The following is a 27195-nucleotide window of genomic DNA, read 5'->3' as shown; positions in this document are numbered from 1 at the left end:
AAAGAAAGTCGACTTTCGGCTAGGCGTGGTGGCTCACGCCTGTAATCCCAGCACTTTGGGAGGCCGAGGCGGATGGATCACCTGAGGTCAGGAGTTCAAGACCAGCCTGGCCAACATGGCAAAACCCCGTCTCTACTAAAAATACAAAAATTAGCTGGGTGTGGTGGCAGGCGTCTGTAATCCCAGCTACTAGGGACCCTGAGGCAGGGAGAATTGCTTCATCTGGGAGGCCGAGGTTGCAGTGAACTGAGATCACCCCATTGCACCATTCCAGCCTCGGTGACAAGAGCAAGACTCATCTCAATAAAAAAAGAAAGAAAAAAAAAAAAAAGAAAGTTGACTTTCCCAAAATTTCAAAAAGTAATTTGGCATAGACCCATGGACCATCATATTAGCAAAATAATTTCATTATAGCATTATTTTAAGAGTAAAAAAGTATGGGTCAGACAAAGTGGCTCACGCCTGTAATCACAGCACTTTGGGAGGCTGAGATGGGTGGATCGCTTGAACTTAGAGTTCAAGACCAGCCTGGGCAATATGGCAAAACGCTGTCTCTACAAAAAATACAAAAAGTTAGTGAAGTGGGGTGATGCACGCACATGCACGCGCACCTATAGTCCCAGCTATTAGGGGGCTAAGGCAGGAGGATTACATGAACCCGGGAGGTAGAGGCTGCAGTGAGCTGAGATGCACTGCACTCTAGCCTAGGTGACAAAGTGAGACCGTGTTAAAAAAAAAAAAAAAAAAAAAACAGCCAGGTGCTGTGGCTCACACCTATAATCCCAGCATTTTGGGAGGCCAAGGTGGGTGGATAACGAGTTCAGGAGATCAAGACCATCCTGGCTAACACGGTGAAACCCCATTTCTACTAAAAATAAAAAAATTTAGCCAGGCGTGGTGGCACGCACCTGTAGTCCCAGCTACTCGGGAGGGTGAGACAGGAGAATCGCTTGAACCTGGGAGGCACAGGTTGCAGTGAGCTGAGATCGCGCCACTGCACTCCAGCTTGGGCAACAGAGCGAGACTCGGTCTCAAAAAAAAAAATTAATAAAAATAACAATCAGAGTAAGAAAGTGGAATTACTAAAATGTTAAGCTATGGAAATGGTTAAATAAACTGAGGCAGTAAATAAAACTTTGGACTATTAAAAGCCATAAAATAACAGTAATATACAGCAACAGGGAAAGCATGTTAAATTAAAAGACAATTATATTAACATTAATCACGGAATTATACACAAGCACAGACAGGATTAGAATATTATACTACTACATTATAGAAGTATAACAGCATTAGAGTACAGAAAAATATAAGTGTTAGATAGGGGAGAGTAATTTAAATTTTTTCTTTTGAATTTCTTTTAATCATGTTACATTTTTTCCAATAAAAAGTTTTCAAAGGCTGGGTGTGGTGGCTCACACCTGTAATCCCAGCACTTTCAGAGGCGTAGGCAGGTGGATCACCTGACATCAGGCCACCTGGCCAACATAGTGAAACCCCTTCTCTACTAAAAATTCAAAAATTAGCCAGGCGTGGTGGCAGGCACCTGTAATCCCAGCTATTTGGGAAGCTGAGGCAGGAGAATCGCTTGCATCTGGGAGGCAGAGGCAGGAGAATCGCTTCAATCTGGGAGGCAGAGGCTGCAGTGAGCCGAGATCACACCACTGCACTCCAGCTTGGGTGACGAAGCGAGACTACATCTCAAAAAAAAAAAAAAAAAGGTTTCAAATACCATGTTAAGCTCTATTACATCCACATACTTAACAAATGTAGAAAATGTTTTAAAGCTTTAAACTTCTTCCTGCAAAATATTAAGTTTCAAATTTCAAATAATAAAACTGCCTAATTTTGGAATATCCTACAATCTGATGCTAAAGACCTATTGTTTTACACCAGCTGTACTATGCAAAATCCTTTCCCCAAATTTTAGCTGATAAAAAGGAATTTCCCATTCCAACAAGGCATCCCTTTGCTACGTCTGTCAAACTGACAATCTATGGCACCAGTATAAAGAAAATTAACATTTTAATTCAGTTATTATGAAAGCTTATCTGCCCTTGCTATTCAGCAAACATATTACACTGGAAATTCAAATTATGACAGAAATTCCGTTTTGCAAATCAAAAAAACAAATGAAACAACCTGCCACTGACTCAGCAACTTTCTTTTTTACTTTACAACCTGTACTTAAGGTGCAAGCATATGACTGAAACCTAGCTTTCAATTTTTCTTTTTTTTTTTTTTAATCAGGCAGCCTCCAGAACCAGAGTAGGCTCTAAGAGATTCCCCTAGCTTTCAAACTGAGCAGCAAAGCCAATGCAAAACCAGTATTTGTTTTGGCAGGAAGCTCCAGTGAAAATATGAGATGTTTTGGTCTTAACTGGCAGATACACAAAGAGCAAAGAAAGGTGCCTTATTGAGTTATTATTTATAATGTAAAATCCCTTGTGTATAGCTACAAATCCACTTTTATTGCAGATACTTAATATGTTTCTTTATAGAAAGTAGCTCAACCAAATAATCTCCCAAATTTGGCACCAGGAATTGTTACAGCCTACACACCACTACAGTTCCTTGTAATTTAAAACATTTGCGTTTTAAGAATAGTCTCCACACTCCAACTATGCTGCCAATTTCTTCAGCTAAAAGCTTAAGTTTATACTACAAAATACTGTATTTACTCTCGACAATAGAATGCACTCATTTACAAAGCATACAGGACTAAATTACTCCAATATGCAACTTCAAAATTTCTCCAATATACAACGACAACATTTCTAACATCATAGCTTTTCTATTACCCAAATCAGTAAGTCTAAATAGTAGTACTGTACACTGCACGAGGTACTATTGGCCAAAGTCAAGTCGCATATGATCAGTTCACTACAACAGGTTATACAAAAGATCAGACCCCTAATCTCAATAAACTATTTTGCAAAATGGTCAACGGAGATACCAATGCGGAGGAAAGTGTGGATTGAGTGGCAGAAAACCCTTTGCCACTACTGAAAAAAAAAACAAGTCAAAGCAAGCCTATATGACAGGCAGATCATGTTCATGAATACAAATCTAACTTCATTGCCGACTTCCCAGTCTCACAGCAAGACGGCAGTTTACCAACTCTTTAACAGTAATACAAAGAACAGGACAGAAAATATAGTTTCTTTTTTGCATGCTATAGTGATCAAGAATAAAGGATACCTTTAATGTTCAAAGATGAAAACTTCCTTTTGCAACTAATATTGCTCTTATCGCGTGTACACAGAAAAATCATACAACGCTCTGCATTTCTGATAGAGTAATACACACTATCACATCAAATCAAGTATTTATCCAGAACTTAGCGCCTTAGCACTAACGTTCTCCCCTCTCATTATACACAGACCGGAAGGGAAAACCTATTCCTACGTAAATTAGGGCCTAGGAAGAACGCCTCAACACGGGTTTGCACACAATTAAGCAGGCTCAGTGGGTCAATTTCTCAGGCTACAACGCTTGACAGTATCTCGGAGGCACAAAGAGACAGCTGAGGGTTCACTACTGGAAATGACACTTTCCCTCAAATTTGCACAAGTACCCGCGGTAACTACCCTAAATTTTCCCGTGTGACAAACATACATAAGGGGAGAAGGAGGCGGTACTATTTAAAAACTGGGTAATTCCTTATTAGTGCAGATAAAAGACGGTCTTCGAGAGGGAAAAGGTCTATCAAGCAGAAAAGGGGAGGAAAAAAAAAAAGACGTGACAGCATTCTTAAAACAGAAAAAGTTACAGCTCTTTACAGGAGTCAGCCTTAGGACTTCATTCCTTGGTTTTGTGTTTAGTCACTCCAGAGTTAAAAGGATACTGCCCTCCTAGAAAGTCATCCCCGACAAAGAAGCCCTGAGGATCGGCCACCGTAAGACAGAGAAGGAAATGTCTTCAATTCACCAGAGACACCTGCCCAGGTCCCCCTCCTCCCCGTTGTCCCCGACACTTCTCAGTCCCCCGACTCCTCTCGAGACTGCCCGCCACCCCTGGCTCTAGCTCTCCGCTCTCTCAGCCTCGACCCCCTCTGGGAAGCCCCGATCCTGCTCCCTCCGCACCCCGGCCCCCACCAAAGCGGCCGTCGCCCCGGCGGTCCCCCGGGCCCAGACCCCTCGCGCTTGTACGCAAACGATTCTCATGGGCCCGGCGGGCGACGCGGGGAGGCTCTTCAGGGGCAGCCTTTCCCCGACTGCATCCCGCAGGATCCGGGGACTCCCCGCCCCCGGAAACCGCGGAGAAACTAGGCCACGAACGCCAGCCGCGGCCACTCTCCGCCTCCTCGGCGACCCCCCGCGGGCCAGCCACTCGGAACTCAGCCCTCCGGGCTCTACCTGTCCCGCGCCCTCCCAGCCTTGCAGCGCAGGCCCCGCGAGGGCACGGCGCAGGCTTCCTCCGCCAAAGGCCCCGCGCCGCAGCCTCACCTGCTGCCTGCTCCTCTGTCAGCGCAGCCCCGACACGGCTTCTTCCTGGGGCAAGAAAGCACCGGATTCGCGGACTGGGCGCGCTCGGCAGGGCAGGGCGGGGGACTAGCTCCAGCGGCCGCCGCCGCCTCAGTCCGGTCTGCGCCTGCGCCGCCTCGCGGGCAGGGTCTCCGAGGGGCGCCGCCTACAGCCAGGGGCGATGGCCGGAGCGCTGGCCCGCGCGGGTGCCTCCGCGCTGTGAGCCGTCGGACAGTGCGGGCGGCGCGTCGCCTAGGAGCTGCCCGCGGCGCAGCCGTCCCAAGACCTGACCGCCATGTTTCTGTTCCCTTTTTCTCCCCCGCCTTCCGCCCCTTTCCACAAAACAGCACTTTCTTTTCCCCCTCCCTCTCCCTTTCCTCCTGCGGGGGCGGGTGGAAAAGGGCGGGGGGTGGGAGGGAGAAGACGCAGGGAGGAGGGGGGCGGTGCGGTGCTCAGGCCCCTCCCCCGGGGAGGGCCGAGGCCCTGCAGCCACCGCTCCCCTCCCCCGCCCGACCCCTGTGCGACCCCCGCGGGGCGCGGGGTCTGAGCCTTGCGGGCCTCCGATCCCCTCCTCAGCGTTCGCGCGGCCGAGCCTGCAGAAACAGAGCTGGGGAGAAAGCGCTCTGGAGGCCGCTGTGCACCCCTTCCTGCAGGGCTCAGACTGGCGGTGTGATGTGGGTTTATTGCCTTGGCCTGAGGCAGGTGGCGGCTGCTTCTCTCGGAGTTTTCAAAGACAGGGAAAGTGATGCCGAGTGGCTGAAGGTCACTGAGGACAGTGCCGGGAGATACGTGAAGATTCCTTCCCAGGGAAGGAATCTGGAATTCCCACGCATGAGTAGAGGGCTCTAGAGAGACCCGCGCGCTGGCCCTTCCCGAAACCCCTTGGCTCCAGTGCACCATGTGAGTCCCTGGCCGCGCTCGGTGTCTCTCCTTCGGCCCAGATTTGGGGATGGGAATTCCTAATGGAGAAATCGCTCATTTGCATAGTCAGTACCCTCACGCCTCCTAAGTGTAGCCTCATTATCGACACAGACGCCTGCAGAGTCGTTTCTCTATAATGCAAATTTTGCAGGATATTTTTGAACAACGTTTTTGAGTTATCATAGTAAATGAAAAAGCAATTACTAGTTATTTAGGAAGAAGGAAATGGTTTGAAGTAGAGATAACTTTTTTACCTCTGGGGGGAAAAAAAGGCGAATGACTTCAGATTCCATGGCAGGTCAAAATCAGAACTGGTAAGATTTCTGCATATCTGGTGAGTATCCACATAAATAATCATTTTCCTGAAAATTACACTCTCCTTATTTAATCTGTATTTTTGCATAAAAATGTGAGATTATACCTGGGTCATAAATGCACTGCTGTCCATTTATTTCTGAAGTTTATTGCATAGCCATGGATAATTTGAGTTTTATATTCAATAGCAGAAACTATTTTTCTAACCACGTAAGCAGTCAGAATTGATTTCAGAAGAAATGCGCAGCAATAAAAGTTAAGGCTTATTTAATAACAGTTTGGGGCCAATTTGGTCCCCCTGGAAACTATCTTTGACATTGACAATCCGAAGAGCAAAAGTTTAAGAAAGGATCTAATACTTCAAAATTTAGCTTGTGGGCCGGACGCGGTGGTTCACGTCTGTAATCCCAGCACTTTGGGAGGCTGAGGCGGGCGGATCACCTGAGGTCGAGAGTTCCAGACCAGCCTGACCAACATGGAGAAACACTGTCTCTACTAAAAATACAAAATTAGCCGGGCGTGGTGGTGCATGCCTGTAATCCCAGCTACTCGGGAGGCTAAGGCAGGAGAATGGCTTGAACCTGGGAGGCGGAGGTTGCAGAGAGCCGAGATTGCGCCATTGCACTCCAGCCTGGGCAACAAGAGCAAAACTCTGCCTCAGAAAAAAAAAAAAAAAGAAAAAAAAGAAAAGAAACAGTGAAACAAAATTTAGCTTGTGGGCTTCTTTTCCTTCTTTCCCAAAGTCTAAATTAATTAGCAGTTTTAAAGCAATATAAACGAGATTTCTTTCTTTATTTACATATATATTTTTTAATTTTTCCTCATCCCAACTAGAAAAGGAAAGACAAGATTTCTTCGCCCCCTCCTTTTTTTTGGACACAGGATCCCCCCCTCTGTCACCCAGGCTGGAGTGCAGTGGCACAAACAGGGTTCACTGCAGCCTTAACTTCCTGCCACCTCAGCCTCCCGAATAGCTGAGATGGTAGGCCTGTGCCAACCACCCACCCACACCCCACTAATTTTTTGGGGGGGTTAGGGGAAGATATAAAGTCTCACTATATTGCCCAGGCTAGTCTTGAACACCTGAACTCAAGCAATCCTATTACCTCAGCCTCCCAAAACTCTGGGATTACAGATATGAGGCACCGTGCCCAACCAAGACAAGATTTCTTAATGGGTACATTCATTTAATTAGCTCTCAGGGATTCAGAGTTTTTTTTTTTCTCTCTCTCTCTCTTTTTTTATGGCACCCACAGAAATGAAAAATGGATGAGGCCAGTATCTCTCTTCCACTTGACTTGATTTTTCTCACTTTGCAATGGAAGGCTTAGGATTTTCTTTAATTTTTCTCACTATCTTAATCGTCCTATAGATTTACCATAGATTTTTCACTGCCATTTTCCACCAAAAATTTCATAGAATGAACTTGAATGTTTTGGGACTAATTTTTCATGTGAGTTAACTGTTCTCAGATCTGGAAGTTCTTGATTCAGCAACCTTCCCAACTGCATGCTTAGGGGCCCAGAACTGAAATAAGTTCATTTGAAATTTTATATATATATATTTATATATATATATATTTTTTGAGACAGAGGCTTGCTCTATTGCACAGGCTGGAGTGCAATGGCATCGTCTTGGCTCACTGCAACCTCCACCTCCCAGGCTCAAGCGCTTCTCCTGCTTCAGCCTTCTAAGTAGCTGGGACTACAGGCGTGCGCAACCAACCACACCCGGCTAATTTTTTGTTTTTTTTGTTTTTGTTTTTGTTTTTTTTTGGGTAGATAACAGTGTTTTGCCACGTTGCCCAGGCTGGTCTCAAACTCCTGAGTTCAAGCAATCCGCCTGCTTCCCGGCCACCCAAAGTGCTAGGATTCTAGGTGTGAGCCACCACACCCGGCCTCATTTTAAATTTTAATATAAAGGCTGGGCACCATGGTTCATGCCTGTAATCCCAGCACTTTGGGAGGCTGAAGTGGGTGGATCACCGGAGGTCGGGAATTTGAGACCAGCCTGACCAATGTGATAAAACCCCGTCTCTATTTAAAAATACAAAAATTAGCCAGATATGGTGGTGGGTGCCTGTAATCTCAGCTACTAGGGAGGCTGAGACAGGAGAATCTCTTGAACCCAGAAGGCAGAGATTGCAGTGAGCCGAGATCTCACCGCTGCACTCCAGCCTGATGGACAGAGCAAGACCCTGTTTCAAAAAAATAATAATAATATTTGACTGTATAAAAAGTAGGAGAGTCGGAGAGCCCGATATCAACATAATTGTTATAATGATTATAGTGTCACAGTTTTAGTTGGGCCTATGTAGATAGAAGAATGCATAGGAAAAAATCAGCCCATCGAAGAGGGGAACACAGACATTCTAGCAGAAAGCTCCTTCTTGCTGCCTTCTGACTGGGCGTGGTCACTGCAGATTTCCGTGGAACTGTGACACAAAGGAGTGGAATGAAAATGTTGAAAATTTCCTTAAGATATTTTTGGGGCCGGGCGCGGTGGCTCACACCTGTGATCCCAGCACTTCGGGAGGCCGAGGCGGGCAGATCACCTGAGGTCAGGAGTTTGAGACCATCCTGGACAACATGACGAAACACCATCTCTACTAAAAATACAAAAATTAGCCGGGCGTGGTGGTGTGCGCTTGTAATCCCAGCTACTCAGGAAGCTGAGGCAGGAGAATCGCTTGAACCCGGTAGGCAGAGGTTGCAGTGAGCCGAGATTGCACCACTGTACTCCGGCCTGGGCGACAGAGCAGGACTCTGTCTCAAAAAAAAAAAAAAACATGATTTTTTTTTTTTTTTTTTTTGAGATGGAGTCTTGCTCTGTCGCCCAGGCCAGAGTGCAATGGTGTGATCTTCGTTCACTGCAACCTCTGCCTTCCAAGTTCAAGCGATTCTCCTTCCTCAGCCTCCTGAATAGCTGGGATTACAGGCACGCGCCACAACACCCGGCTAATTTTTGTAATTTTTAGTAGAGACGGAGTTTCACCATGTTGTTCAGGCTGGTCTTGAACTCCTGACCTCGTGATCTGCCCGCCTCAGCCTCCCAAAGTGCTGGGATTACAGGCATGAGCCACCATGCCCAGCCCCGCTTCAAAAACTTCTAATCATTGCCCTGTGAGGGCAGGAGTAATATATATCACAGATGTGTATTTATATGTTTTTATTCTGGATGCCTAGGATCTAGCAGAGTAACTCATATATATTATAGTCTCTCAGAAACTAATTGATGGGCCAGGTGTGGTGTCTCAAGCTTGTAATCCCAGCACTTTGGGAAGCCAAGGTGGGCAAATCGCTTGAGCTCAGGAGTTCAGGACCAGCCTGAGCAACATGGCGAATCCCCATTTCTACCAAAAATACAAAAAATTAGCTGGGTGTGGTAGTGCATGCCGGTAGTCCCAGCTACTCGGAAGGCTGAGGTGTGAGGATCACTTGAGCCTGGAAGGCGGAGGTTGCAATGAGCCAAGATCGTGCCACTGCACTCCAGTCTGGGTGACACCTAGACCCTGTCTCAAAAAAAAAAAAAAGTTAAAAATAATAATAATAATAATTGATGAATGCCTGGCATAAATCAGTCTGTGCTTCTCTCACTTTCTTTCTCTCTGTTCTTGGGTAAGTTACTTAACTTTTCCTCATCTGTAAAGTAAGTAGAATGATATTCACAAAGAAGATCATTTATTAATTTACAATAGGCTATAAATATTAAACACATCAGTTCAGGAATCAATAATCAGCACATGTGATAGGCAGCCTCTCAGTATGGTTTACAACAATTCCTGCCTCCTGCCATTTATATCCTTGTGTAATCCCCTCATATTGAGTGTGGGGTGAACTTACTGACTGGTTTCTAATACACTGAGTACTTCAAAACTGATAGGATAACTCTAACAGGATGAAATGATAAAAGACTGTGGCTTCAGTCTTAAATTCTTTGTCTCATCCTCTTGGATTGCTTGCTCTTGGGGAAACTAGGTACCATGCCATCAGGTTTCCTTGTGATTTTGATTAGAAGTGGATCCTCCCCAAACTGAGCCTTGAGATGAGCATGGCCTCAGCCAACATCTTGATTGCAGCGTCCTGAGAGACCGTGATCCAGATCACCCAGCTAAGCCACTCCCGGATTCTTTAGTCATAGAAACTGTGAGGTAATAAATGCTTCTTCTTTCCAGCTGCAAAATTTGGGGATAATTTGTTACACGACAACACATAACTAATACAGCAGTACCTGGAAGGTAACAAGTGCTCATTAATGGTAGCTCTTCTTTTAGTGAATATGATTGGATTCATTCAGCATATGACTTGGCATCCTGTAATGCTGATCCAAGCTTATTTTAATACCATAATGATAGTGTTTACAATTGCAGTAAGAAAAAGTAGGAAAAGTAGAAAGACTGACTTTTGGTTTTTGTTTTTTGTTTTTTGAGACAGAGTCTCGCGCTGTCGCCCAGGCTGGAGTGCAGTGGCGCGATCTCCGCTCACTGCAACCCGCGCCTCCCGGGTTCACGCCATTCTCCTGCCTCAGCCTCCCGAGTAGCTGGGACTACAGGTCCCGCCACCACGCCCAGCTAATTTTTTGTATTTTTAGTAGAGACAGGTTTCACCCTGTTAGCCAGGAAGGTCTCGATCTCCTGACCTCGTGATCCACCCACCTCGGCCTCCCAAAGTGCTAGGATTACAGCGTGAGCCACTGCACCCAGCCGGAAAGACTGACTTTATCTCATCTGTTATTTATAAACCACCTTTGATAGAAGAGAAATTTGTTAAGAGTGTGTTTCATATGTTGTCTAGGATTTGCTTCAAAATAATCCGTGGGAGATGGGGAGGAGTGCGGGAAAGAGAAGGGAGTAGGTAGGGGTTAGGTAAAAAAGATTAGACACATGTGGAAGTTGGGTGATTGGTACTTAAGAGTTCCTTTCCTTTTTATGGCTTTTTGAATTTTTCTGTAATAAAAAAGTCTTCTTTTTTAAGTATTTTATGGAATCAGAAGTTTGGAGCTGAATGCCAATCTTTAGAGATCATCTATTCTAATTAACTGATTTGATAAGATGAGGAAATTAAGCCCCAGCCAAATTTACTGAGTTGTCCAGAGTCCCTCAGTCTCAGTTTTGGTGATTTCATATTTACATATTGAGGAGAAATTACTCACTTCAAAGTTCTTTTGATTGATTGATTGATTGCCAGCCTCAGAAGTCACATAGCTCACCAAACAGTAACTTGTTCGAGATTTCCTAAGAGAGCCTCCACAGCATTAAAATTCAAGCCTGGTCTCCACTTTCCAATATGTAATCTGCATGTGGTAGACTGGCGAGTTATTTGGCTCCAGTCCCCCAACTCATTAATTTTAGAAAACATAGTATTTGAAGGCCCAGTGCTTCACACCTGCAGGCACCGTTAGCCACTGTTTTAGATTTTTAAGTTAAGTAACATCAACAAACACTAAATCTGTTTTATTAAACACTAAATCTCCTATTTAAATGACCCAGAATATCCCACCCTTCGCAGGGAGTGTTAGCACACTCTTCTCTTTGTGCTCCCTCCCATATCTTATCTTGCTAGGACTCTGTCTCAGCATTATCAAAGTGGGCTAGAGTCTCTTGGTACTCAGCACATTCTTTATCTAGCTTTCTTTTCTAGGCCTACAGGCCAAACGTGGCTGGGCAAGGAGTGGGAAGGACTGTCACGAGGCTTCTCATCTTGAGTGGGAGGAGAGTAAGTGATCCTGAGAACAGTATCTTAATAGGTCATAAAGAAGAGCAGGCGTTAGCAGAGGGAGGAAGACAGAGAAAGGAGTAATGGGCAGGAAGATAGTCTATATGAGTATCTGAGACATAAGACCTGCTGCCCATAGCTGGCTTTTTTTTTTTCTTTCTTTTTTTTTTTTTTTTTGAGACGGAGTTTTGCCCTTGTTGTCCAAACTGAAGTGCAATGGTGCGATCTCGGCTCACTGCAAATTCCGCCTCCAGGTTCAAGTGATTCTTGTGCCTCAGCCTCCCAAGTAGCTGGGATTACAAGGGTGCGCCACCACGCCTAGCTAATTTTTTGTATTTTTAGCAGAAACGGGGTTTTACCATGTTAGCCAGGCTGATCTCGAACTCCTGACCTTGGGTGATCTGCCTGCCTCGGCCTCCCAAAGTGCTGGGATTACAGGCGTGAGCCACTGCGCCCGGCCCATAGCTGGCTTTTATGGGCTCCCTAAAGTATTTTATGTGAATGGAACAGTCCTCTGCCCTCAGTCTTTCCCCACTATTGGGTATTAGTGTCTGTGCTGACTTGACTACTACTTTAGCATTTACCTCCAAATATGGCCAATTTCCCTAAGTGGCACTTGTCCACATCCGTCTACAATAGTTAGCTATGTTCCTGTTTCCCACCTTAGAGGACCGTTGTCTGTACTGACTGAGCTTGATTCTTACCTGCTTCCCCGAACCACTTTTTCTGGGCCTCAGTTCTGATGTTCCTCACATCATAGCAAATTGTCCTGACCGTGGATCCAGAAATATATGTGTTATTTCAAAGATTACACCTGGTGAAGTAGCTCCCACCTGTAATCCCAACACATTGTGAGGTTGCAGCAGGAGGATTGGTTGAGCTCGGGAGTTCAAGACCAGCCTAGGCAACATAGCAAGACCTTGTTTCTACTCAAAAAAAAAAATAATCCAAAAGAAATTAGCCATTTGTAGTGATGCACGCCTGCAGTCCCAGCTACCCGGGAGGCTGAGGCAGGAGGATCACTTGAGTCTAAGAGGTCACGGCTGCAGTAAGCTGAGATCTTGCCACTGTACTCAAGCCTGGGTGACAGCGCAAGATTTTGTCTCAAAAACAACAACAAAAAAAGATTAAATTTTAAAAATACTAGCATTCGTTTTGGCCAGGCATAGTGGCTCACGCCTGTAATCCCAGCACTTTGGTAGGCCGAGGCGGGTGGATCACAAGGTCAAGAGATTGAGACCTTCCTGGCCAACATGGTGAAACCCTGCCTCTACTAAAAATATAAAAATTAGCTGGGCGTGATGGCACGCACCGGTAGTCCCAGCTACTCGGGAGGCTGAGGCAGGAGAATTGCTTGAATCTGCGAGGTGGAGGTTGCAGTGAGCCGAGATCGCACCACTGCACTCCAGCCTGGCAATAGAGCGAGACTCTGTCTCAAAAAAAAAAAAAAAAAAAATATATATATATATATATAATAGAAAACAAAGCAATAATACATAAACAAAAATAGTAGTAAACTTTTCTGTATCCATCACTCAGCTTCAACAATTATGTTAATCTTTTTTTTTTTTTTTTTTTTTCTGAGACAGAGTCTAGCTCTGTCACCCAGGCTATAGTACAGTGGGGCTGTCTTGGCTCACTGCAACCTCCACTTCCCAGACTCAAGCGATTCTGCTTCAGCCTCCTGAGTAGCTGAGATTACAGGTGCCCACCACCACACCCAGCTAATTTTTGTATTTTTAGTAGAGATGGGCTTTCACCATGTTGGCCAGGCTGGTCTCAAACTCCTGACCTCAACTGATCCGCCCGCCTCGGCCTCCCAAAGTGCTGGGATTACAGGTGTGAGCCACTGTGCCTGGCTAACTCATGTTAATCTTGTGTCGTGTATATTTCCACCGACTCCTCACCCCCCCCTAAGTATTTTGAAACAAATACATATTATTTCATTTTTAAATATTTCAGTGTATATCTCTAAAATATAAAAACATTTTATTTGTTTTTGTTTTTGTTTTTTGAGACAGTCTCACTCTGTTGCCCAGGCTGGAGTGCAGTGGCGCAATCTCGGCTCACTGCAATCTCTGCCTCCCAGGTTCAAGCGATTCTCCTGCCTCAGCCTCCAGAGTAGCTGGGTCTACAGGTGTGCACCACCACGCCCAGCCAATTTTTGTATTTTTAGTAGAGATGGGGTTTCACCACATTGGCCAGGCTGGTCTCTAACTCCTGATCTCAAAGGATCCACCCACGTCAGCCTCCCAAAATGCTGCGATTACAGGCTTGAGCCACCGCGCCTGGCCTATTTGTTTATTGATTTATTTTAGAGATAGAGTCTTGGTCTGTTGTCCAGGCTGGAACGCAGCAGAGCAGTCATAGCTCACTGCATCCTTCAACTCCTGGGCTCAAACAATCCTACCACCTCAGCCTCCCACGTAGCTGGGACTACACGTATGACGCACCACACCAGCTAAGATAAAGACCATTTTTATTATTGTTATTATAACAATAATACACTGTCACTTTGTCACCCAGGCCGAGTACAGTGGCACAATCACAGTTCACTGCAGCCTTGACCTCCCAGGCTCAAGCTACTTTCCCACCCCAGCCTCACTAGCAACTAGGACAACAGGCGTGCACCACCGCATCTGGCCAATTTTTGTATTTTTTGTAGATACAGGGTTTCACCATGTTGCCCAGGCTGGTCTGGAACCCCTGGGCTCAAGCAATCTTCCCACCTTGGCCTCCTAAAGTGCTGGGATTATAGGTGTGACCCCATGCCCAGCCTGGTTCTGCTTTTTATTGGACAAATATTTATTGAGCATTTACTGTGTGTCAGGCATAGGAACAGGAGGTGGATATACAGTGGATCCATACTATTCATGGATTCCATACTTGTGAATTTACCTACTTTCTAAAATGTATTTGTAAGCTAAAAATCAATATATATGGCCTTTTCAGTCATTCATGGGCATGTACAAAGAAGCAAAAAATTTGAGTCACTCGGCTGGGCGCGGTGACATGCCTGTAATCCTAGCACTTCGGGAGGCCAAGGCGGGCAGGGGCAGATCACGAGGTCAGGAGATTGAGACCATCCTGGCTAACACAGTGAAACCCCATCTCTACTAAAAATACAAAAAATTAGCCGGGCATGGTGGCAGGCGCCTGTAGTCCCAGCTACTTGTGAGGCTGAGGCAGGAGAATGGCGTGAACCCAGGAGGCGGAGCTTGCAGTGAGCTGAGATCGCGCCACCGCACTCCAGCCTGGGCGACAGAGGGAGACTGTCTCAAAAAAAAAAAAAAAAAATTTGAGTCACTCAACATTCACATTCCCAGCTGATGTTAAACAAGGCAAAACTCTGCCTTCTTATTTCAGCTCTCAAACTGTAAACAAGTGGTCCTTTTCACAGTCTACTTTGTGCCATATTTTTTGCATTTGTGCTTTTTGTTGGTAATTTTGCTGTTTAAAATGGCCGCAAAGGGTAGTGCCGAAGTGCTGGTTACTATTCCTAGGCACAGGAAGGTTGTGATGTGCCGTGTGGAGAGAAGATGGATTAGATAAGCTGTGCCCAGGCACGAGTTATACCGCCTTTGGCGGTGAGTCTGAAGTTAATGAATCAACAATGTGTATTAAATTAGATGTCTTTTTCTTTTCCTTTGTTTTCTTTTTTTTTTTTTTTTTTGAGATGGAGTCATGTTCTGTTGCCCAGGCTAGAGTGCAGTGGCACGATCTCGGCTCACTGCAACCTCCGCCTCCCGGGTTCAAGCAATTCTCTGCCTCAGCCTCCCGAGCAGCTGGGATTACAGGCACCCACCACCATGCCTGGCTAATTTTGGTATTTTTAGTAGAGACGGGGTTTCATCATCTTGACCGTGCTGGTCTCGAACTCCTGACCCTGTGATCCACCCGCCTCGGCCCTGCAAAGTGCTGGGATTACAGGCGTGAGCCACTGCACCCGGCCGATGTCTTTTTCTTTTGTTTTGAGACAGGGTCTCTCTCTGTCACTCAGGCTGGAGTGTAGTGGCACGATCACAGCTACTCAGGCGGCTGAGGCATGAGAATTGCTTGAACCTAGCAGGCAGAGATTGCAGTGGGCTGAGATCGCGTTACTGCACTTCAACCTGGGTGACAGAGTGAGACTCTGTCTCAAAAAAAACATGGCAGGGGAATTAAGGTTGCAAATGGATTAAAGTTGATAATCAGACGACTTTAAGAGATCATTCTGGATTATCCAGATGGCCCCAATATAAACAGAAGGGGACTTTAAAAGTGGAAGAGGGAGGCAGAAGAGTCAGCGGGATATTGACAGTGGAAGAATGGTCAGAGAGATGCAGTGTTGCTGGCTCTGAGGGTGGGAGGAGGTCATGATGCAAGGAATATAGGCATGCTGTAGAAGCTGGAAAGGGCTAAGGAAGTGGATTCTTCCCCATAGTCTCCAGAAAGGAACACAGCCCTGCTGACACCTTGATTTTAGCCCAGTGGTACCTGTGTCAGCCTTCTCTCTTACTGAACTATAAAATAATAAATTCATGTTTAAGCCATTAGGCTTTTGGTAATTTGTTACAGCAGCAAAAGGAAACTAATGCAAACCACAATGTTCTTTTTAACTAAGTAGGTTTACCTGATTTACCTTGCAGAATGCCATGGCAGATTGTGTTTACAACCATGCTGGACACACTAGGAGTAAAAATCATAAGTTATGCTCATCTCTAAAGAACTTAAATAGCAATTAGAGAAACAAAGTTTAAGGAGCATAAAACAGTTACTGATTGTGTGGTACTGACTGTGAATGCAGTAAAGGAAGTAAGAAAAAGTAAAGGCTACAGCAATGTTTCTCAGACTTCATTGCACATTAGGGTCACTTAGGGATCTTTTAAAAAGTCTGAAGCAACATCTCATACCAATTAAATCACAAATTATTGGGTTGGGACACAAACATCAGTATTTATTAAAGCTCACAAGTGATTCCAGTGGACAGATAAGTTTGAGAGCCACTGAGCTAGAGTCATCTGAGAGGGCATCAAGGAGTGGGATTTGTAGTGGTTCTTGAAGCATAGGTGGAATTTGATTAGCTGGAGAGAAGGTGGAAATTTTGATGAAAATATTCCTAATAATAATTACAGCAAATTGCCATTTCCATTTTGATCAGAACAAATGGTTTGTAAACGTTACTTGATAAAAGGAATGAAGTGTCATCATTATTCAAATAAATAAAATATTGTTCAATACAGCCAAATTTCTAAGATTTAACAAACAAATACATTAAAAAATATTCACAACTGAGCTCAGTGGCAGTGGCTCATACCCTAATCCCAGCACTTTGGGAGGCTGAGTCGGGGGGATTACTTGAGCCCAGGAGTTTGAGGTTACAGTGAGCTATGATGGCACCACCACACTCCAGCCTGGGCAACAGAGCAAGACCTGTCTCAAAAAAAAAGAAGAGACTGCCTGCATTTCCCAAAAATGGCTAGTTTTTTTGTTTTAATTTTGCCGGGCACAGTGACCCACAGCTGTAATCCCAGCAATTTGGGAGGCCGAGGCAGGCAGATTGCTTGAGCTCAGGAATTCAAGACCAGCCTGGACAACATGGCAAAACCCCATCTCTACAAAAAATACAAAAATTAGCTGGGCATGCTGGCATACTCCTATAGTCCCAACTATTCAAGAGGCTGAGCTGGGAGGATGGCTTGAGCCCTGAAGGCAGAGACTGCACCACTGCACTCCAGCCTGAGTGACAGAGCCAGACCTCATCTCAAAAAAAAAGTTTGTAACATAAACTGAAGAGCCTAGGCCAGGCACAGTGGCTCACACCTATAATCCTAACACTTTGGGAGGCCAAGGCAGGTGGATTGCCTGAGCTCAGGAGGTTGAGACCAGCCTGGGCAACATGGCAAAACCCCATCTCTACTAAAAATACAAAAAATTAGCTGGGCATGGTGGTGCACACCTGTAATCCCAGGTACTCGGGAAGCTGAGGTGGGAGGATCGCTTGAACCGGGAGGCGGAGGTTGCAGTGGGCCAAGACTGCGCCACTGCACTCCAGCCTGGGTGACACAGTGAGACTGTGTCTCAAATAAATAAATAAATAGCCTATTGATTGAGAGCCATGTGTAACCTGTATCACTGATCATTTTGAGATTTCTGTTTAAATAGTTATGTATAAAGTTGATTTGAGGAAAAATAATGTGTTAATAGTTATTTCATAGATATGCAGGAAATTCTTAGGCTTCCTAGAACTAAACTATTTCAATTCTTTGTTGGAAAGGGAGTCCTTCCTAGAATAAGTTCTTGGTTTTAAATTATTTTCCTATAACATTGTGCCTTAAGAGCATTACAAGGTTGGAAGAAGCAGGGAATAGCACTCAATAATAAAACAGAATAATCAGTTTCTCAAGGACTCTATTTGTCCTGCGCGCAGCAGCCCTCTTCAAACACATTTCTCACTAACATGGTTTCAACTGTAATGGAGATGTGCTCGCTTTGGCAGCACATATACTAACTGTAATGGAGATAAATTTGGACTTAAGATAAAAATTTTCCCTACCAAGTGCCTTATTAAAGTTTGTCACTTTCTCCTTTATATGAAAGTGCCAAGTTTTAGACTATGTGCTAAAATTCAGCCACCTTGCTTTCTGTGAGATTAATTTTCCTGCCTGGCAAGGTGGCGTTTAGCAGAACTGGCAATATACATTATTCATAAATATCTTTATTTTTCCAAATAATGGCAGTTATAATGGTTTAACCTTGTGACAGACACTTCAGACAATATGGACTAACAGATGTGAGTTCATATTCTGGCTCTGCAATTTACCAGCTTGGACTTGGGCAAGTTTGTCTAACCTCTCAGGTTAAGTACTTAGCTTGTGGTATTGTTGAAAGATTAAATGAAAACCAAACAAAATTCATTAGGCATTTTCATTATCACCTCACTGCCATTTCTCTCCATCCTAACACTGGCTTCCATCTCTTCCTGCCAGCATTGCTGCTATCTCAATTAGATATTCTACTTCACAGTTCAAACTTCCTCCAACAACCTGACCATTCCTCCTTCTCGAAAGACTCCTCTCCAATTGAGATCTTGGGATTAAGGGCTAGAATATGGTTGACATATAGAAAGGTACAGAATGCATATCAGCTGTCTCCACCACTGCCCTCAAAGCAGAATCAAAAAGGACACTGATAAGTGGCGTCTTTCAACTGACAGTAATGAATACAAGATAAGTGGAACAAACCATTTTTAGTCCAAGCTTCATTAGACAGTACTAACCTTGGAGAACAACAGGGTGACATCAGCAAGAATAAGATAGCAACTTGTAACACTCTGTGTAATGAATTAGGAGTAAAACTGCCTGTATTTAAATCCCAGCTCCACCATTTGCTGTGTAATCTCTCTAAGCTTTGGTCTTTGCATCTGTGAAATGCAAATAATAATAGTACTAATAGTAACTGATGTATTTTACTGTTATTGTAAGGCTTTTTTTTTTTTTTTTTTTGAGATGGAGTTTTACTCTTGTTGCCCTGACTGGAGTGCAATGGCGTGATCTCAGCTCGCTGCAACCTCTGTCTCCCAGGTTCAAGTGGTTCTCCTGTCTCAGCCTCCCGAGTAGCTGGGACTACAGGCATGCACCACCACACCTGGCTAATTTTTGTATTTTTAGAAGAGACGGGGTTTCACCATGTTGGCCAGGCTAGTCTGGAACTCCTGACCTCAGGTAATACGCCCGGCTTGGCCTCCCAGAGTGCTGGGATTACAGGCATGAGCCCCCACGCCTGGCCTGTAAGACTTATTAGAGGGTTTTTTTGTTTTGTTTTGTTTTGTTTTGTTTTGTTTTGTTTTGTTTCTATGAGACAGAGTCTCACTCTGTCGCCCAGGCTGGAGTGCAGTGGCGCAATCTCAGTTCACTGCAACCTCTGCCTCCTGGGTTCAAGCGATTCTCCTGCCTCAGCCTCCAGAGTAGCTGGGGTTACAGGCATGTGCCACCACGCCCAGCTAATTCTTGTGTTTTTAGTAGAGAGGGGGTTTCTCCATGTTGGCCAGGCTGGTCTCAAACTCCTGACCTCAAATGATCCACCCGGCTCGGCCTCCCAAAGTGCTGGGGTTACAGGTGTGTGCCACCACACCCAGCTAATTTTGTGTTTTTAGTAGAGATGGAGTTTCTCCATGTTAGTCAGGCTGGTCTCAAACTCCCGACCTCAGGTGATCCGCCCGCCTCGGCCTCCCAAAGTGCTGGGATTACAGGCATCAGCCACTGCACCCGGCCTTAGAGTTTTTATAAGAATTAAATTAAATAGGCTGGGTGTGGCCTATTCTATTTTCAAATGTGACCTCTCTGAGAAGATCACATTTGAAAAGAGACATGAATGAAGTAGCCACAGAAGATACCTGGGAGAAGAGATTCTAAGTAGAGGGATGGGAATGGCAAGGTAGTGATGTGACTAAAATGCACTGAGCAACTAAGAAGGGTAGGCAATGATACCTTAAGCAGTGTACTAGAGGGGGAAGGTGCTCACCTGGAGGAGAGAGAGTTCCTAGATTTTTGGCATATCATCCACACCATTCTATGCCTTAATCCAGAGAAACTGTGCCAGGTACCCTGGGAGAAAGAGATTATGGAAAAAAAGATGTAATAAATGGTAGAACCATATCAGTAGAGGAATCACTGGAGATGGAAAAAGAAGCTATGCATTCTAATCATATTACACATCTCAACACAAATGGGGAAGCTGTTTTCTTCATTTTAACATAGCAACAGGTAGAGACAGGACAACTACCACTATATGGTGGCAGGGGACTTCAACCAACTGATCCTGAGCCGAAACAGGCCAGAAACTAGAGCAGAAAAAATCCCATGTTTCAAATTGGAGGAAAAGAAGGCTGTTTTAATTTAAAAATATGTGATACAATTTTGTAAACCACATTAAATAGAAGCAGCTACCTATGGCTGAGATGCCAGTGGTTTTACTGGTACGTTATGATAAAGAGTTTCAGTAACTATTTATTGAGTGCCTATTGGCCAAACATTCCGGCGAGGTGCCAGAATAAAAAGAATTAATATAGTGTTAGGCACTGTAACTGTTTTGTTTTGTTTTTCTGAGACAAGAGTCTCGCTCTGTTGCCCAGGCTGGAGTGCAGTGGCGCGATCTCAGTTCACTGCAACCTCCGCCTCCCGGGTTCAAGCAATTCTCCTGCCTCAGCCTCCCAAGTAGGGATTCCCTTTCCACCCTGTCTAAAAGAGCATGCACATTACTCTCTATCATTCGGCCTATTTTAAATTCTTCCCATACTCTGGTCACTGACATTATTTATTTATGTGTTTATTCCCTATCTCCCCTACTAACAATGTAAGTTCCATAAGGGCAGAAACTATTTTATTCACCATTCTATCCCTGTTACCTAGAGCAGTAGTAATATTCCATAACTATTTGTTGGTGAATCAGTCACATAAGTAAAAGGAGCTAGCAACAGTGGCCTGCACCAGTGGTCCTAACTACTACAGAAGCTGAGGCAGGAAGATTGCCTGAGCCCAGGAGTTTAAGTCCAGCCTGGACAACATAGCAAAACCCCATCTCTAAATAAATAAACAAAATAATTAACAGGAGCATTTAGAAGTCTGTTGTCTCCAACAATCTTCAGCCTCCATGTTTCTGGTCATTGTTCTCTCCATGGGACTACTGAAACCCTAGTGCAGGTAGACCCCAACTGGCCCTAACTCTCCAATCCTGCAGATATGCCTGAACATGTCTGAAATCTCTGGGCCTCTTACTCTCCATATTTCTTCCCTGTGCCATATATGTAAGAAAGTTGTTTGAGTTGGGTCAGAGCTTTAAATATTAAATAGGAACACTTCTGTGACAGCAGTAACCTTTAATATGTAAAAGAGAACAGCACATTAGCAAATTCTGTCTTAACTGGCTTGAATATGTTAATTCTCAATGGTTTATTTACTGCTGCCTTCATTAAGGATTATTAAAGTATGTTTTTTTAGCTCGTCAAAGCGAAATTGTGTTTAGTCGCCAAGTTTAATTGCCACTTTTCATACTCTTTTGATGTACTAATAGCTCCTAATGGGGATCATTAGTTAAGAAATGAAAAAAAGAAAACAGGTTTCTTCAGAAATTCTAAGTCTGTTCCCACTACTTCCCTAACTCTTGGGGACTACAAGACACTTAATTAAAAGCATAAAGCCGGGCGCGGTGGCTCATGCCTGTAATCCCAGCACTTTGGGAGGCCAAGGAGGGTGAATCACCTGAAGTCGGGAGTTTGAGACCAGCCTGACCAACGTGGAGAAACACCGTTTCTACTAAAAATACAAAATTAGCGGGGTGTGATGGTGCGCGCCTATAATCCCAGCTACTTGGGAGGCTGAGACAGGAGAATTGCTTGAACCCAGGAGGCGGGGGTTGTGATGAGCCACGATCACGCCACTGCACTCCAGCCTGGGCAACAAGAGCGAAACACCATCTCAAAAAAAAAAAAAAAAAACTATAATAAAATAAAGAGGGTTCCTGGAGACAGGAATTGGGATTGGTGGTAGCTTCCCAATTATCTGATTACTTAAGACTTTATTCATAGCCAGAATTTTTCTTTTCCTTACTATTACGTATATACCCATCCAGAACATTATTTCATACCCAGCCTTCCCTGTTGTCTCCCTCCACTACCAAGTCTCCCCTGCCAGTTGCTCTCCCTTTATTCAATTAAAGTGAAAAACAAAAGTGTTAGAATGATTTTTGCTTATATGTTGAACTTGATGCATGTTTTAAAAATATTAATTCCAGTGAGTTTTAGAAATTGAAATTATATGAAAGCAAAGTCCCAGGCTGGGCGGTGGCTCACACCTGTAAACTCAGCACTTTGGGAGGCCGAGGTGGACGGATTATGAGGTCAGGAGTTCGAGACCAGCCTGGCCAACATGGTGAAACCCCATCTTGACTAAAAATACAAAAAAATTAACCAGGTATGTAGGCGCGCACCTGTAGTCCCAGCTACTTAGGAGGCTGAGGCAACAGAATTGCTTGAACCCGGGAGGCAGAGGTTGCAATGAGCCGAGATCACACCACTGCACTCCAGCTTGGGTGACAGAGCAAGACTCCATCTCAAAACAAAAAACAAACAAACAAAAGGGGCCAAGAGCAGTGGCTCACACCTGTTACCCCAGCACTTTGGGAGGCTGAGACAGGCAGATCACCTGAGGTCAGCAGTTCGAGACCAACCTGGCCAACATGGTAAAACCCCATCTCTACTAAAAAAAAAAAAAAAAAAAATACAAAAATTAACTGGGCTGTGCACCTGTAATCCCAGCTACTCGGGAGGCTGAGACAGAAGAATGGCTTCAACCTGGGAGGGGAGGTTGCCGTGAGCCGAGATCACACCATTGCATTCCAGCCTGGGCAACAAGAGCGTAACTCCATCTCAAAAAAACAAAACAAAACAAAACAGATTAAAATTTGAATTACTTTAATATCTCAGTTCATTGCAAACTCCGCCTCCCAGGTTCAAGCAATTCTCTGCCTCACCCTCCTGAGTAGCTGGGATTATAAGTGCCCACCACCACGCCTGGCTAATTTTTTGTATTTTTAGTAGGGACGGGGTTTCACCATCTTGGCCAAGCTGGTCTTCAACTCCTGACCTCGTGATCCACCCGCCTCGGCCTCCCAAAGTGCTGGGATTACAAGCGTGAGCCACCGCGCCCGGCCCAGAATATTTTCATTGAGGGCAACTTTTTTTGGATTTTGGCACTGTGTTGCTTTATACATGAATGAAAATTTGATAAACAATAATAATTATAATAGCTGCCAGGATTATAGCTATTGATTCAGTTAAGACTCACAAGAACCCTGTGAGATAGGTATTATTATTTTCTCTATAGATAAGGAATTTGGAATTCAGAGAATAAGTAATTTGCTCAAGTCCACAGCAACCTTCAGCCTAAATGTGATCCCAGGTCTGACTCTAGAGCCCTGGCACATTATCAATATTGCTCTTCTAAGAAGGAACATTCTTATATGAAGTGACTAAATACTGGCAGAAGAAACTGCCAGGGAGCCGGGGGTGGTTGCTAATGCCTGTAATCCCAGCACTTTGGGAAACCGAGGCAGATAGATCACTTGAGGCCAGGAGTTCTGTCTCACAGAGTTCCATCTCAAAAATAAAATTTTTTAAAAAGCAGGGATTCTAGCAGCTGACCTCTAGTGACCTCATCTACCCCAAAGTTAGTACACCTAGAATTGTTACCCCTTATTTTAATTAGAAATATTATTAGTTGTAATTTATATTTAAAAATGAATAGGGCTGGGTGCAGTGGCTCACACCTGTTATCCCAGCACTTGGGGAGGCCAAGGCTGGAGGATCACTTGGGCTTAGGAGTTGGAGACCAGCCCATAGTGAGACACCATCTCTACAAAATATTTATTTATTTATTTATTTAGAGACGGAGTTTCACTCTTATTGCCCAGGCTGGAGTAGCAGTGGCGCAGCCTCGGCTCACTGCAACCTCCGCCTCCCGGGTTCAAGTGATTCTCCTGCCTCAGCCTCCCAAGTAGCTGGGATTACAGACACCCGCCACCACGCCCGGCTAATTTTTTGTATTTTTAGTAGAGATGGGGTTTCACCATGTTGGCCAGGCTGGTCTCGAACTCCTAACCTCAGGTGATCCACCCGCCTCAGCCTTCCAAAGTGCTAGGATTACAGGCATAAGCCACCATGCCTGGCCAAAAAATTTAAAAATTATCTAGGCATGGTGGCACACAGCTGTAGTCCCAGCTACTCGGATGGCTGAATGGGGAGGATTGCTTGAGCCCAGGAGGTTGAGGCTGCAGTGAGCCATAATTGCACCACTGCACTTAAACTTGGGTGACACATGTACTCTGAGTTCCGGGAAAACCCACACATCTACTTAACTTTGGGACTTTAATGTTCCTGTTAATGCCACCTGAATCAACCCTTTGGCCGTGACCTATGTCAGCCAATCAAAACTCAGCAACCAGGCTGGGCATAGTGACTCGCACCTGTAATCCCAATATTTTGTGAGGCTGAGGTAGACAGATCATTTGAGCTCAGGAGTTCCAGACCAACCTGGGCAACGCGGTGAAACCCTGTCTCTACCCCCAAAAAATACAAAAATTAGCCGGACATAATGGTGCCTGCCTGCAGTCCCAGCTATTTGGGAAGCTGAGGCGAGAGAATGGCTTGAGCCTGGGAGGTGGAGGTTGTGGTGAGCCAAGATTGTGCCACTGCACTCCAGCCTGGGCAACCTCTTCTAAAAAATTATACACCCACACACACATATATATATACGTACATATACACACAAATATATGTGTACACATACACACACACACATATATATGCACCAGAAGGTCACTTTTTAAATTTGTGTGAATATTCATATGCATACACGTGTGTAGAAAAAACACCACAAAGGCTGATGAGGTCTTCAGTTTGCTTAACTGTGTACACGTATTCAGTGTACACATATTACAGTTATCTAGTGAAAGCTATAAAATGTTTAAATGAAGACTATGTTTTGGAATAAATTAAAAAATAAGATAGTCTATCAGAAATAGATTCTGAAGGAAACAAAAGCAAATAAAGAACAGCTGGATTTCTACTGGTAAGGGAGTTTGCTCTTTTTAAAAGAAGAATAGCAAATGATTCCCTGTGGATCTGGAACTTACTCTGTCAACCTAAGGATGTGTTTTTGTGACTATCATCTCTTTATTCTAAAGCCAAGTGGAAAGAGAACAAAGCAATGAGAGGAAACTGATTTAAAAACCCTTTAGCTGATCAAGGTGGGAAATTAGGAAAACTAAATCTAAATAAACTCTTGAAGTCACTTTGTGTAGCAAGAGAATAGTCTGAACTTGATTATGATGAAGAAAATCCTTATAGAGTTCATGCTACCAGAAGAATTTTGAGACTACATTGGCATGAAGTGTGGGGACTATTAAGAATTATATGTCAGGGCACAGTGGCTCATGTCTGTAATCCCAGCACTTTGGGAGGCTAAGGCGGGCAGATCACAAGGTCAGGAGATCAAGACCATCCTGGCTGACACGGTGAAACCCCCTCTCTACTAAAAATACAAAAAATTAGCCAGGCGTGGTGGCACGTGTCTGTAGTCCCAGCTACTTGGGAGGCTGAGGCAGGAGAATCGCTTGAACCCGGGAGGCAGAGGTTGCAGTGAGACAAGATCATGCCACTGCACTCCAGCCTGGGCGACAGAGCAAGACTCTGTCTCACTTCTTCCAAGTGAGCACACAATCATTTCTACCTACAAATGTTATAACTAAAAATTAATTATCAGGAACTCCTTCTCAATATAACGATTTAAACAAATGTAAGGTGTACTAATTTATTTGCTTAACATTGTTTATTAAATACCTGTACTGGCTGATTTAATCCATAACATACTATGTAGTCAGGTATCAGGGTTGGCTGCCAGATATGAACCTTTGGCCAAATGAGGGATGAAGTTACTTCATCTCTCATCCAGCTTTGCCAGATCCACTCACAAAGGTGACTGTCTACATTTTTAACCCTCTTTAGAAAAATATACAGAAGCTTCGCTATTTGAAACCAGTCTTCCTGTACTCCGTTTGTATTCTGAATCTTACTATTTATCTTTTCCGTCTTGACAATGTGATTTGTGAACTTAGCTTTGGATTCTGATTTTAGTTTATTTGGTTCTACATATTTTGGATCCTATCTTTGGCATGTTTTTTTAAATTCTTGTTCCATCCTGGGCTTGTATCTAATTCAAAATTCCTGAACTTGACACCCCCAAGCTCCACCCACAAACCTTGTAAACAGATGTTATTTCTTAAGCCCTAGAGACTAAAACTACAGGGGAAATATTACCTCAGGTAGAAAAGCATCTTTCTTAGTCTCTTGATATGATCTCTTCTTAGGTGAAGGGTCCTCACACAAAAACATAAATTTGTTAATCCAAAAGACATTATGCAAGAGTTATCTGTTTGTACAGGCTTTTCCCCCAACAAGGCAGGAAGAACCTGCTAGACTAGTTGTCATTGCTGAACTAAGAAAAGACATTCCTGTGATACACACTTGAAATCTGCCTTTCGTTGAATGCTCATCTCCTCATTTGCTCCCCAGGTACAGACAATTGCCTGCACAGTTTTGTCTGGTTCACCACTAGTTTAGCAGGAGGCACTAAGGTTTTTCTGTATCCTAGTTCTGTTCTGGTGTCTCACTGTTCACCTTTCCTGATTGTGTCACCACCCATTAGTCCAGGTACATGTTCATCTGCAGACATATGAATGCACAAGGCACCAGGCATATGCTTACTTAACATGAAGTTGCCTAAATGCTCTTATAAAACCTTATTGTGAGTATATGAATTTGATGCCAACTTGTTTGAATTACAATGTCAATTTTCTTTTCTTTTTTTTTTTTTTTTGAGATGGAGTTTCACTCTTGTTGCCGAGGCTGGAGTGCAATGGTGTGGTCTCAGCTCACTGCAACCTCCACCTCCCAGGTTCAAGCATTTCTCCTGCCTCAGCCTCCTGGGTAGCTGGTATTACAAGCATGCGCCACCACCTCCGGCTAATTTTTGTATTTTATTGGAGACGGGGTTTCACCATGTTGGCCAGGCTGATCTCGAACTCCTGACCTCAGGTGATCCACCCACCTCAGCCTCCCAAAGTGCTGGGATTACAGGCATGAGCCACCGCGCCCACCTAATGTCAAATTATTAACACTGATATCATGGGCCCAGAGCTGTTTGAGTTACTTAATATCTGACTATTTGGGAATATCAATATAATGC

The 27195-nt window shown here is 44.4% G+C and overlaps 1 protein-coding gene across 39 annotated transcripts in view, besides 7 other annotated features; it reads right to left on the bottom strand.

The window, feature by feature from the left end:
- DENND4C (DENN domain containing 4C) overlaps positions 1-4769 on the bottom strand; it is a 143769-nt gene extending 139000 nt beyond the window's left edge. For 35 of the 39 annotated variants that reach the window (NR_169852.1, NR_169854.1, NR_169850.1 and 32 more), the window contains exon 1: positions 4449-4589. The gene's annotated coding sequence lies outside the window, so the exon portion shown is untranslated. Of the gene's footprint in view, positions 1-4358 lie in introns of all 39 variants that reach the window. The other 4 variants (NM_001386047.1, XM_047423585.1, XM_047423584.1 and 1 more) reach the window with 2 other exon arrangements.
- Positions 1410-1583: a silencer, noted in NCBI's record as "fragment chr9:19233697-19233870 (GRCh37/hg19 assembly coordinates)". NCBI's record gives its function as "represses an EF-1alpha promoter that drives an FKBP-Casp9 reporter gene in an ReSE screen in K562 erythroleukemia cells {active_cell/tissue: K562}" and the evidence as "EXISTENCE:reporter gene assay evidence [ECO:0000049][PMID:32094911]".
- Positions 3785-4290: an enhancer, noted in NCBI's record as "NANOG-H3K27ac-H3K4me1 hESC enhancer chr9:19230990-19231495 (GRCh37/hg19 assembly coordinates)". NCBI's record gives its function as "activates a minimal SCP1, AML or CMV promoter by ChIP-STARR-seq in primed H9 embryonic stem cells {active_cell/tissue: H9 hESC(primed)}" and the evidence as "EXISTENCE:reporter gene assay evidence [ECO:0000049][PMID:30033119]".
- Positions 4042-4181: a silencer, noted in NCBI's record as "silent region_19793". NCBI's record gives its function as "represses an Ori minimal core promoter by ATAC-STARR-seq in GM12878 lymphoblastoid cells {active_cell/tissue: GM12878}" and the evidence as "EXISTENCE:reporter gene assay evidence [ECO:0000049][PMID:35858748]".
- Positions 4291-4797: an enhancer, noted in NCBI's record as "NANOG-H3K27ac-H3K4me1 hESC enhancer chr9:19230483-19230989 (GRCh37/hg19 assembly coordinates)". NCBI's record gives its function as "activates a minimal SCP1, AML or CMV promoter by ChIP-STARR-seq in primed H9 embryonic stem cells {active_cell/tissue: H9 hESC(primed)}" and the evidence as "EXISTENCE:reporter gene assay evidence [ECO:0000049][PMID:30033119]".
- Positions 4402-4771: a silencer, noted in NCBI's record as "silent region_19792". NCBI's record gives its function as "represses an Ori minimal core promoter by ATAC-STARR-seq in GM12878 lymphoblastoid cells {active_cell/tissue: GM12878}" and the evidence as "EXISTENCE:reporter gene assay evidence [ECO:0000049][PMID:35858748]".
- Positions 4852-5151: a silencer, noted in NCBI's record as "silent region_19791". NCBI's record gives its function as "represses an Ori minimal core promoter by ATAC-STARR-seq in GM12878 lymphoblastoid cells {active_cell/tissue: GM12878}" and the evidence as "EXISTENCE:reporter gene assay evidence [ECO:0000049][PMID:35858748]".
- Positions 5182-5431: an enhancer, noted in NCBI's record as "active region_28220". NCBI's record gives its function as "activates an Ori minimal core promoter by ATAC-STARR-seq in GM12878 lymphoblastoid cells {active_cell/tissue: GM12878}" and the evidence as "EXISTENCE:reporter gene assay evidence [ECO:0000049][PMID:35858748]".

Source organism: Homo sapiens, chromosome 9 (genome assembly GCF_000001405.40).
Source record: "Homo sapiens chromosome 9, GRCh38.p14 Primary Assembly".
Lineage (NCBI taxonomy): Eukaryota > Metazoa > Chordata > Mammalia > Primates > Hominidae > Homo > Homo sapiens.
The sequence above is the reverse complement of the archived record's forward strand: the minus strand, read 5'-3'. Positions and strand labels throughout refer to the sequence as shown.